The 13,427-nt window shown below is 35.9% G+C and overlaps 1 protein-coding gene and 1 long non-coding RNA gene across 17 annotated transcripts in view; one reads left to right on the top strand and one right to left on the bottom strand.

The window, feature by feature from the left end:
- The window catches only part of RANBP17 (RAN binding protein 17), a 437,998-nt gene that overhangs the window by 156,361 nt on the left and 268,210 nt on the right, over positions 1-13,427 (bottom strand). The gene's annotated exons all lie outside the window — the stretch shown is intronic.
- On the top strand, positions 3-4,203 carry LOC124901133 (uncharacterized). Its single transcript, XR_007059046.1, has 3 exons — positions 3-83; positions 455-592; positions 4,117-4,203. It is a non-coding gene; the product is annotated as an uncharacterized LOC124901133 (long non-coding RNA).

Here is a 13,427-nt window from a genome sequence, read left to right as displayed (position 1 = left end):
ATATTCAATAGATGTTTACCGAAGAAATGAATAAACTACAACACTGAGAGACCTACTCCAGCAAGTGGAATGACCTTGGAAAGGTAATTCGTATCTCTAGGCCTTAAACTGCCATCTGTAAAATCAGGAAATGGTGAAAAAAATTTTTTTAAAGATGTGGAACCATTTCTTTAAATAAGGGCTTACCTGGAAGGCCAATATGAGAAAGTAAGTGATAAAGAAAGTAAGCACTTTAAAGTGCTCTGTTTCACGGAAGGAGAAGATAACTTGCCAAGCTCCTCCTCCTCCCCTCCCTGCCCCAACCACGGAGCAAACAGAAAAACTACTAGACTATATATTATATGATCTCTTCCAGTTCAAGTATTCTGATTCCATGATGTTATTCAATAGTGTTTCATAGCAACACATACAAGAATTATTAAGTGGAAAATTCCTTTGTTCTGTCATCCTTTAGGAACAAAAACTTCCATTTGGAACTCTGTTTTCCCACAGTGGATTATTTTGTGGAGGTATCAAATCTGGACTAGCTGTGCTACACAACAGTGAGTGATCATGGAGCTGTTTATCCCACTAGCTTACCAGATAAGAGCAGGTGATTTGTGACAATCATTAATTTTAGGTACAAAATACTGCAATGGATAAAATAGATTTTAAAAATAAAAAACAAACTGTTTATTAATCTTTTAAGAAACCAGGTCTTTATTACTTATGCCTAGAAAAATAATGTAAATGCCTATAATTCAATTTTCATGTGCCTCTGTACTTAAGAGCTCAAGGTCTGAAACACTGGTCTATAATTCATTAGCTATTATTGACAGTCATTTATTCTGAGGTTTCATTTCCTCATCCCTAAAACTGGTATGATACTTGCTTTATGTAGTTGTTATAATGACCAAAGTAAATAAAGTATCCAGCATACTGGTACATGGTAGGCCTTTGAGACAGTCTATACTTCATTCCTTATTGAATGCTAACAAATACAGAGACAGGCTTCTTCTTCTAAGGAAAAAAAGTCATGTTTTGGACAGATAGCATTCACAACTAGCCATCTTACTACTGGCAATTTACTAAGATGAGAAGACCATGCTTGAATATATCCCAAACTTGAATTATAACTGAAAAAGCAAATTTGCAATAATTAATATTTGTGATGGGTATAAAATCTTATCTATAAAGGATAGGGCAGAACACTTGGTTCAGACTGTATCACCAACAGCAATAATAGCCTGGGTTCCAAGGCCTCACTGTCTAACAAGAGCATTTATTTACTGAACATCCAGTTAGGGATCTAGAGCTGTATAGTTGTACTCTAACAATATTTTTTTCTTCAATTACTGTTTAAATATTTGAAACTACATTTTGGCAGAAAATTCTATGAAAAAGAGACCAGTCTTACTTTTAAGAATCACCTATCATCTTGAGAGAGGGGCTCCACAAACATTCTACTAAAAATATAGAGCACAGAAGACAAAAAAATGGAAGCTCTATTATCATTAAAAACCAAAAGTAAACTCATGCCCGTAACAGGTAGAAATTTAACACCTCTATTTCCAATACAGCATATGAAAAAGATTTGAAACTAATGATAGGACCTTGTATATTTCAAGCAATCTGTATCTGCTGGTATTTCACCAATAAGTTTGAATTTCTTAGTCTTGATTTTACTTTGAAGGCATGCAAATTACGCATTTTATATGACATACTAAATAGGTATAAAAGAAAACAAAGAGTTAACCAAAAAATGAAAGTATATAAAACCCAAGATGGATATGCCAGGTATTCTGTGCTACAGGTATTATTCAGCGTTAGGTCATCAACCATAATGTTTAAAATGAACTCTTGAATAAGGATGCAATCATAAAAAAATTGAGTGACTTAGTTGAATGTTGGCAGTAGCAAAAGTCAGAATAGACACTCCCGTCAAATAAGCACTGTGATTTCAGCCTCCTCTTAATTAATTTAACCAATTCTCCAGTTTAGGCTTTTTGCTTGATCAAAGTATATATCTTCACTTTTTTTTTTTTTTTTTTTTTGAGATGGAGTCTCGCTCCATCTCAGTCTACACTCCATCCCAGGCTGGAGTGTAGTGGTGAGATCTCGGCTCACTGCAAACTCCACCTCCCAGGTTCACGCCATTCTCCTCCCTCCGCCTCCCCAGAAGCTGGCGCTACAGGTGCCCACCACCACGCCTGGCTAATTTTTTGTATTTTTTTTTTTTTTTTAGTAGAGATGGGGTTTCACCATGCTAGCCAGGATGGTCTTGATCTCCTGACCTTGTGATCCGCCCACCTCGGCCTCCCAAAGTGCTGGGATTACAGGTGTGAGGCACTGCGCCCAGCCTATCTTTACATTTTTAACTTCCCATCCTTAATAAACCAACTTTAAATACTAACTCAATTGAACTTGTAAGTCTGAGTATACTTTGTTTCCACTGAGAAAGAGATCTTATCTTGGCCTGGATTTAGGAAATCATGTTATAGTGAAAGGTCCTCTCTGACACATTTATTTTTAGTAAAGAGTAGGGAAAGGAAAAAAGAAACATTTTTAGGGATTCTGCAAATGTTTCTTAAATGAATGTTGTGAGGAAGAATCAGGTAGAGATGAGTAAGTACAGCCTATCATGGGAACAGAATGGCCTCAGAGCTGTCCTGATATGATCAAACAGCCAAAGATAGTTTCTGCTTTTCATTAATTCATTCAATTTTCATAAAACTTGATTAGATTAAAGGGTGGGAGTAAGACACAGGTAGTGTGGAATATTCTGGACTTGGAATAGCTTTTCATGTCTTCATGACACATGGATCTACCCTTCACAGTAATGTAAGAGTAGGATGAAGAGGTCCTTGGATACAAAGCAGATGTCTACCTCAAAATAGGAATTTTTTAATTCAACCTTCTCAAAAGCATAGAGGTTTATGAGTTTTGACAAATGCATATGGATGTGTAACTACCACCACAATAAAAGTTTCCATTACTGCAAAATGCTCCATTGTGCCTTGTACAAATCTCTCAGCCCACTCCCATCCCTGTACTCAGGGATTCTTAAGTTTGGCAGGACCTGTTCTCAAACAGAAAAAGACTGAGCATCAAAAGGACTTGGGGTGAGGTTTTATAAACTGGAGTATGACATGATATCTGCTCTTTATAGCCCAAACTCTGCTAACAGAAGAGGTGGCTAATCTAGTGTTGGGTATATGTACTCAGTTGTAGTTCCAGCTCCATCACTTAGCACAGTATAGCTTATTCTTTTATTCCTTTAATAAACATTGAACTGAATTTGATTAATGTGAGCTTGATAAATATTCCAATATGTGTTGAGTACTGTGCCAGATGCTGGAATGGACAAAATCAAACATGATCCCTATCCTCATGGAAGTTACAGTTCTAGTGAAAGAGACAGATATTAATTTAATAATCACACAAACATTATTACAAACTGTGCGAGTTGCTATAATGGAAAAGTAGAGGGTGCTGTGAAAGTATAGAAAAAGATAACATAACCTAGCCTGGGAGATCAGGGAGGGCTTCCATGAGGAGATGAAATTTAAGCAGAGAGCTGAGGGGTAAGCAGGAAATAACGGTGAAAGGGGAAGGTTGGGAGAAACAGAAGAGAATGTTCCTGACTGAAGAAGTGATGTATGTAAAGTCCTGGAGTTATAAGAGAGTTTATGCTGCTGAGGGTCTTAAAGAAGACCAGTGGGCTGGCTAGACGAGTGGGGTTTACATGTAAGTTAAAGGGGAAAATTGAGGCTAGGCCAGTAAGGGCCACATACCTATGTAAAGTTGGGTTTTATCCTAAAAACAATAGAAAGTTATTTAAACAGGCAGAAAGGCAAAATCAGGTTTATATTTTTGAAGACTACCCTGGCTACAATTGTACAATGCACAATAGTAGGCTGAAAGTGGGCGAAGGTGAGAAAAGAGTCAGGATTCAAGTTAGGAGTATAATGTAATATCCCAAGTAAAAGAGACGGTCGCTTGGAGTTGGGCTATAGAGGAGACAGAAACAGATAGATTGGTGACATATTTATGAGGCAAAAAATATATAGTAGAACTTGGTAGAGAGTAAGGAAGAAATGAAATAAAAATGATTCCTAGGTTTCTGGTTTATACTAGAATGGTGCCATTCATCAAGACAAGTGACAATTAAAGAAGACCAGGTTTATTACAATAAATACCACTGAATGCCTACCATGGGCCAAGCACTGAGGATTCTGAAAGAAAGATAAGTATGTAGATAAGTCTCATATAATGGGATAAAAACCATAACAAGGTTAAGCACTGAAAGAAAAGATGCTCATGCCAACAATGGGGTAGAGTAGGGAAGAGATGGATGGAGAAGACTTTCAGGATTTTCTAACTATATAAAATTATTTTAATAAGAAAAGAATTCTAATCTGCCAAATGAGGGAACTATCTCTACTTCAAAGGAATGCTACCCGAAAAGCGGGTGGGGCTACAGTTGCTGCCTATTTTTTTAAACTTTGCATTTGAAATAATTTTACTTGTAAATTGTTATTTACAATTTTTTTAAATTTAAAATTTATTATTTTTCTTTTTTCTTTTTTTGTTTTAAAGAGACAGGGTCTCAGTATGTTGCCCAGGCTGAAGTGCAAGTGGCATGATCACAGCTCATCGTAGCTGTGAACTCTTGGGCTCGAGTGATTCTCCTGTTTCAGTCTCTCAAGTAGCTGGCACTACAGGTGCATGCCACCATTTCTCAGCCAATTTTTCCATTTTTTGCAGAGATGACGACTCATTATGTTGTCCGGGATAGTCTTGAATTCCTGGCCTCAAGTGATCCTCCTGAGTGCCTCAGCCTTCCGAAGTGTTGGGATTACTAGTGTGAACCATTGCACCTGGCCTGGCATAATTTTAGATATACAGAAAAGTTGCAAATATAGTACAAAGAATTCCTATATACCATCCATTTAGTTTTCCCTAAGGTTAACATCCTATATAACCATGGCATATTTGTCAAAAATCAAAATATTTCCAGTTGGGGAAATAGGAAGAAGCATTCAGGTGGAGTTTTGTGTCCCTTTCACTGTTGCTTTCGTTCTCTAAGCCTGCACTATGAAGGATGCTTTCTCAGGACTTTTTTTTTTTTTTTTTGCAGTAGGGAAGGGTAGGAGAAACTGCCTGGTGGGACTGTGATAAAAGAGCCTGCAAGAGGGTATAAAATCTCCATATATCTAAGGCCATCTGGGGCTTCACTTTCTCTTGCCAGCCCACACTCAGCCTCTACCAACTTATTAACTATCTAGCCCAGTTATTCTTATGGCATTCATGAGTCAACCTTATGTAAGCAAGTGCTCATGTTCCTTTTTTCCTAGCAAGCATCTATCTCTGCTTACATTTCTGGCTATTTGGTTGTCTTTCCACTTCAGTTCTCTGGCAGATTCAAGAAAAGTCATAAGCTTGCAGTTTTCCCAGCTTTATTGTTGTTTCAGAGGTGAAAGTGATGCTCTTTCCAGCTTTCTAGGCTCCAAATGGAAACTGGAAGTCCTATGTTGTTTTTAATCCTAGAATTTGGGTCTAAAAAGTTCTCAAGGGCAATCTAGTTCATTCTTTATTTTACAAGTGAGAATACTAAAGCTCTAAAAGAAATAACTGACTTTTGAATACTTAGTGATGGAGTCAGGGCAATTCTACTTATTTACAAAGTGATTCAGTGTGTGTGTATATATATATATATATATATCTCATATATCACACTACTTATAGATATAGAGTAGATATATATTTACTTATTTACACAGTGACTCAGTATTTGGGGTGACATATAGGAAATCCCGGACATTAAAAAAGTAGAGATAAAATAAAATGAGACACAAGGACCAGTTATAATATAAAATTGAATCAGAGTGGGAGGAATACAAGGATAAAAATTCATGAAAGCAGATTATAAATGTTACATGCAATTATACAGTTGAACCATAAATTGGTGGCAAATTTCCAGATGGCCAAAGTGAAAAGAGAAAGATTATTTTATAGTTTATCAATTAGGGGAATACACACACACACAGACACACACACACACACACAGACACACACACACACACACACACACACACACACATCTCAAGTCAACAGAAGCATTTCCTAGTGCTAAATTAAGAAGTTTCTCTTATATGGCTTCATACAGGGACCACTAAGAAATATAATGAGGCAATACTTTCAATGACAACCCTGTAGCAAAAGTATTGTCCAAGTTTATACAAATGCTGGAGTTAGACCCTGGATGGAAGTGTTCAGTCTTCAAATCTAAATCTATTTACCCCACCATGCAGTCTATACTACAGCAATTCCCTAGAATAGATGTCTATTATGCAAACTGCTAATGAGCACTGGTGACTCAGTTACTATCAAAATAGGTATGTCTGGAGTTACAAAACTTTCAAATTGTAAGAGACCTCATCAACTTGTCCCATCATCTCATTTTGGAAATGAAATAGAACACAATAAATACTTTCATGTGGAAAAATATATATTAAGTATAGGCAAGTTAAATTCCTATCCAGTTTAAAAAGAAGTCTTAAAACCCAGCCAATATAAGATATTCTCTCTTTAGGATGCTACTGATGTCAAAAATAGAACTTTATAAATATTTTAAAATAATTCTCAGGAATCAGAAGCAGAATAAAAGGTAAACAAAAGCCAGCCACAAGTCTTCCTGCACTACTGACAATTTACTGGAGTGAAAAAGGTCAAGATCTAGACAAAAACTGAGAGAAACCATGAAGAAAAAGAAAATGAAGAGTTACTCTAGGGATAAGATTTCCTACAACCACTCAAACGATACAGCTTCACAGTTCCAAGTTTCAAGTCTATGATGAATTTTTATTTAATTGTGTACATCAAGCGGAAAATTAATTTCTAAATCTCTAATTAGCCACCAAAGGCAGAGTGAGCTAGAAAAGACCTAAGCTAGGAAGTAATACATATCTACATATACCAAAAACATTTAAAGAGGCTCCAGTTCATAAGACTATAATTAGAAATAAGAGACTCTCCTAAGACAATAATCTGAGTCTTGCTTTTAAAGAGTCCTGATAGCACGGTGTCTGAAAAGACACAAGATTCATTTTTGATCCTGCTCAAATGTGTTTGCTGCTAAAAGTCCTGAAAGATGACCTCTTTATAATATAATCTTACCTAAAGTGAGTCCTGCATTATGAACCCAGGAGACAGAATTAGAGACTCTAGCTTTCTCTCTTTCAAGAAAAGAAAAGAAAAGAAAAAAAAAGGTGAGAAAATCCGAGTAAAATGAAAATTTTATATAAAATACGTAGATATAACACACACACAGACATATATTATAAACATGAACATCCAGTTGATATTCTTGGGTATCTTGAAATGGAGAAAATAATTTCGCTTCCCACTTGGCATTCTCATGTTTGAATAAAAAAATTTGTGATTAATACTCATGTGAAAATACCCTTATACAAATTAAAAGGAAAAAAATGTTATTTTGAATCTATAATACTGCAGCCTTGCAGTTGGGATGCTGGTTGATCTTAATGAGAGAAATTATTTGATTCAAGCATCAACTAAATAGTAATTAAGATGAACATAAATGCATGAAAAGAAAATTAACTGTATATGACAAGTGCATGCCTCATAGCACCTGTCCTCACATGTAGAAAAGAACATCAGCCTTTGACTGATTATTTCTTTTTGACATGATTTATCACCCAGTATTCTTTAAACTTGATAAAGCAAATTAATCTTTGATTGCAGGCGGCACTGGAGGTTGCCATTAGTCATGTAGTTTGGTGAGGTTCCTTGTGTTTCATTTACCAGGCACACAGAAAGAGAGCCCAGAAGCAATTGCCTCAGCTAGGACTTCTTTCCCAATCCACCCAGGAGAAATGATCAAAGAATTCAATATACGGTATTTTAAATTACTTCTATAGAACTGACCAGTAAAGAGAAAAAGAATTTTCTCTTTACTCTATTTTTATAATTATTTTTTAACCAAGGACAAAGGAAGACTTGTAACTTGTGATTTCAACATTAACAACTCAAAGTGATTTTTGTTTGTTGTGGGGCAAGGGGTCAGGGTGGAGAGTAATTATAATTTTTAAAACTGCTATCTTAAGAAAGCGTATTTAGGAATTGACTACGCAGGAATACAGAAATAGCAAATAAATATTCCATACTGAAAATATTCCCATAGGTTCAGGTACCAAAGTGCTCCAGTTAATTAAAACCATTGTCTCCACCTTTTAAAATACGGAAGAAATATTTTCTAGATTAGTGAATATTCCATCCTAAAGCATTATCCAATTTTTGCTTTTTAAAAAAGTCAGTAAACAATGATAAGAAATCATAACTTTTTAAAATTATTCTTTTTTTTTTTTTTTTTTGAGATGGAGTCTCACTCTGTTGCCCAGGCTGGAGTGCAGTGGCTTGATCTCAGCTCACTGCAACCTGCACCTCCTGGGTTCAACTGATTCTCCTACCTCAGCCTCCCGGGTAGCTGGGATTACAGGTGTGAACCACCATGCCTGGCTAATTATTATTATTTTTTTTTTATTTTTAGTAGAGACAGATTTCACCATGTTGGCCAGGCTGGTCTTGAACTCCTCATCTCAAGTTATCCACCCATCTCAGCCTCCCAAAGTGCTGGGATTACAGGCGTGAGCCACCATGCCCAGCCTTAAACTTTTCTCTTTACTTACTTACTTTTCTGTTTTGGGAATTTAATTTATTTTTATTTTATTTGAGACAGGATCTCACCCCGTCACCCTGGCTGGAGTGCAGTGGCACAATCTCAGCTCACTATAACCTCTGCTTCCCAGGGTCAAATGGTTCTCCAGCCTCAGCCTCCCCTGTAGCCGGGACTACAGGCGTGAGCCACCAACGCCCAGTCAATTTTTGTATTTTTTGTAGAGATAGGGTTTTGCCATGTTGCCCAGGCTGGTCTTGAACTCCTGAGCTCAAAGCAATCCACCTGCCTCGACCTGGGCTTATTTTATAATTTAATATTCAAAAGAGTATTACACTGGCCTAATGCTCACTATTACTCACCCTAATACCTCAGTGTGCAAGAGCAATATTTATTTGACAAAATAACTATTAGGGAAAAATGTTTGGGTTAGAACTTAGGGCTTTCTACTTTTAGTCCCTTACTTAACTGATAATGCCTGTCAGAGACATTTCCCACAACTTCAAAAACAGATTCTTTGACTATGCCAACCATTAACAAATCATCACTTCATATATAATCTGATTATTTCAATGAAAAATTTCTTCAATCTAGCCATAAGTACAGGATAGATATTTGATCCCTCTGAAAGATGATAATCCTTATTAGGCTAAATATTGTATCTTCTAAAATTGCTGGAAAAACAATGTGAACAAACTACTAGCAAACTTAATAAAATCCCAATATTTATGATCATCTCAATTCCCAGTTAGTCTTCATGGAAGGCATTTCTACACCTAAAGGGGAAGAAGAGCCCACTGGGTAATGTATATCCATCTTTTAACAATGGCTTATTTTAGAAAGGAATCCAAAGAATATATGAATAACCATTAAAAACAGCATATTCCATTTAGGACTTTAGGACTTATGCAATAAGTATTCATTTTCAAAAAATAATATTTCATGAAAATTAACTGAGGTAGGGTTAACATCAATGTTTCAAGTATTTATCTTAGATGGTACCATTTGTTCATAGAACAAAATTCATTAAATGATCCAAATGTGCAAATAAAGGCAGTACATGTATAGATACTTAAAAGACCTTTCTCTTAAATAAAATGTAAAAGCAGCTCCTGATGCATTACAATGCACAGCCACAACCTGAAAGCTCAAGTACAATGTTCTTTTTCAAAATAAGAACTGCTAGTGTTCCTACTCCAATGTTTGGGAAATCACATTCACCAGACTCCTGGTCATACATTTAAGCACAAAGAAATACAGTAACTAAGTTTCTGTCAATTTTCCTACCATCTAAATATGAGCTGAAAATTCCGGGTAGCCTATGCCCACATGGGTTTAGCAATTCTATGATCTTTTCAAGCATTTATGAAAATTCTGCAAAAATGTAATTTCCTAAAAACAATCTTTTATTTTCTCTTAGTATATATGAAAGATTGTTGAAACTATAATTTTATAAATAAATTATAAAGAATTAGGAATAAATCTTTACACATAAAGAATTAGGAAACAATCTTTACATAATGATACTTGAAATGCATGAAGTTGGCAAATACTGTCTTGTCACTAATTGCAAACAAAATGTATCAAGTTATTTGGCATTTTTTATAGAAACTTTAAAAAGCTAATTAACTATTAACTATAATAGTCACATCAGAGTTCTGAAAACTGTGTATCTCCTTACAGCAAATTATGTCAGATATAAGCAAATAATATGTGTAAATGTATTATTTTTCAAAAAACATAACTCCACATTATTTTAACATGTTAGCTTAATTTATTAAAAGACAAACATTCAGCCGGGCGCGGTGGCTCAAGCCTGTAATCCCAGCACTTTGGGAGGCTGAGGTGGGTGGATCAAAAGGTCAGGAGTTCGAGACCAGCCTGGCCAAAAAGGTGAAACCCTGTCTCTACTAAAAATACAAAAATTAGCCAAGCGTGATGGCGGGCCCCTGTAGTCCCAGCTACTCGGGAGGCTGAGGCAGAAGAATCACTTGAAACCAGAAGGCGGAGGTTGCAGTGAGCTGAGATCGCGCCACTGCACTCCAGCCTGGGCAACAAGAGCGAAACTCCGTCTCAAAAAAAAAAGACAAACATTCTGACTAATCTCAAGAATTATTTAACAGTTTAGTTGAAACACATTTTCTTCTGGAATAATAAATTACTATAGCTTAGAAAATCAGAGTAAACGAAAAGAGTTGAAAAACTGTCAGTACAGAGTGAATGAAAGGACTTCAAATGAAGTCTTTTTTTTTTCTTGAGATAGGGTCTTGCTCTGTTGCCCAGGCTAGAGTGCAGTGGTGTGATCAGGGTTCACTGTAGCCTCAAACTCTAAGGCTAAAAGGATTCTCCTGCCTCAGCCTCCTGAATAGCTGGGACGACAGGCATGCACCACCATACCTGGTTAATTTTTAAATTTTTTGTAGAGATGGGGTCCCCCTATGTCCCTAGACTGGTCTTGAACTCCTGGGCTTGAGTGATCCTCCCATCTCGGCCTCCCAAAGTGTTTGGATTACATGCATGAGCTACCCTGCTCAGCCCAAATAAACTATTATCAAAACAAATTTTAGTCTTGTCCCTGCAGACAATTAAAAAAAAAAAAACAACTAAAGTCAGAAAAACAACTTGCTCCATAATAATAATTTAAGCCAGCCTTCCTTCCTTTGTTCCTTCCCTTACCTCCTTCCTTCTTTTCTCTCCTTTCTTTCCTTCCTTCCCTCCTTCCTTCCCTTGGGTGGGGGGTAGGGCTTGGAAGAGTAAAGAAGGCTATTTCAGGATAGAATAAATTTAGTAGGACAATTAAAAGTGTCTTTCCCTTTATAAAAACTTTAGTTGTAACTTACATGTTTATTTAAAGCAAGTTCACATGTAAGAATCTATTATTTATATATAAATATACATTTACTGCTTGGCTCCATGGAGAAACTATAAATTTCATCTATTGAACATTAGCAAAAAATTACATGTGTTTATCATCTGGATTATTCTCAGATTAATAGAGATAAATGACAAAACATAATCAGTAGCAGCTCTGCAACTTAATCATTGCATCTGAGCTATAGGAAGCACTTAATTACTCTCATTTACTAGGTTCAATCTAATGAGAAAGCATTAGCCAAATGAAAAGAATGCAGTACAAACAAACAAAATAGTTATACCATCATTAAAAAGAAACTCTGACAGTGCAGGTGACAGCATAGGCAGGATAAATTACCATAATGTTCTAAATGCTGAGCTGTCAGCATGCTAATGCCATGATCAGCTACCCTGGGAATCTCTGCACTATAGCTGTCAGAAACAGGTATCATAAATCACCTCTTTCTACTGTACTGCTCATTATCACAGCTATAGTATACATGTTTTTCAGCATACTTCAGTACAAATTTGAAGGCAACACTTATTCTTATGAGTGGGTCTCTTTACACTTGCACTGTAGACAATCCTTGCCTAATAAATGGATATTTTATTTTGCAATAATGAACTACTGGATCTTAGAACATGATGGGCCTCTGCTTTTAATTCATAAGCCATCTGAATGAACAGACTGCAAAAACAGCACATTTTCCCAAGCTGTACAATACAGTAGCAGTGAGCTAGGTAAATTAACATTATTCCATCTACAGGAATCCCATTATTTGCAAGCTATTTCTGGATCTGGAAAGCAATAGTAGCAGATATAAATAGGAACCACTTGCAATGCTTAGAAACCTTTATGACATAATCTTAATATTTTTAAGGAGAATTTTATATTTTATATGGAAAAAGAACTAATATTTTGAGAGCTTACTACAGGTAATCTCCTCTAATCCTTATAACAGCCTTGTGAGTTAAATATTACTATTGTAAATTTGTAGACAAGAAAGCTGAGGATCTGAGTTTGAAAAATTCGCCCAAAGGCTACTAAGTGACAGAACCATATGTGAACCCAATTCTGTGTAACTGAAAAGTTCATGCCCTTATTATTGCTAGAGTTAGCAAAGGAATTCCAAAGACAAAAGTCTCTGAACATGTGAAACATAACAAATTTCTTTAAATAATCATAAACATGTATACTATAGTTTTATTATAAATAAAATGCTGTAACACTCCTAATTTCTATTCACCAAAAGTAGCTAGAAGGGAAACTAGCTTTTCATCTTCACAACATAACTTGTAATACAATTATACAAAGATAACAGTCAATTTGATGATGTATCTGTATTCTCAAAATACTTCTTAATAAAAAGCACCTGACATATTTTACAAATAAAACGGTGTTTCTACATATATATAAAAAAGTATTTTTTTGGTTGGGTGTGGGGCCGATCACCTGAGGTCGGGATTTTGAGGCCAGTCTGGCCAACATGCAGAAACCCCGTCTCTACTAAAAATACAAAATTAGCCAGGCATGGTGGCGCATGCCTGTAGTCCCAGCTACTTGGGAGGCTGAGGCAGGAGAATCGCCTGAACCCCAGAGGAGGAGGTTGTAGTGAGCCGAGATCATGCCATTGCACTCCAGCCTGAGCAAGAAGAGCGAAACTCCGTCTCAAAAAAAAAAAAAAAAAAAAAAGTCTTTTTAAAGTATTCTGATTGAGCATATTTTAAAAATGTGAGAAAAAAGAAAACATTATATTCAGGGAGAAAAGCTAAATTTCCAAAGAAAATGAAAATGATGAATGACATTTTCTAATAATCTGTTTGCAATTTCTTCTCCTGTGCTTATTCCAAGAGAGTGATATTTCTTACTATAATTTCTTGTATTTCGGTGGGTGGT

Source organism: Homo sapiens, chromosome 5 (genome assembly GCF_000001405.40).
Source record: "Homo sapiens chromosome 5, GRCh38.p14 Primary Assembly".
Lineage (NCBI taxonomy): Eukaryota > Metazoa > Chordata > Mammalia > Primates > Hominidae > Homo > Homo sapiens.
Note: the sequence above shows the minus strand (reverse complement) of the source record. Positions and strands in the feature narration are given on the sequence as shown.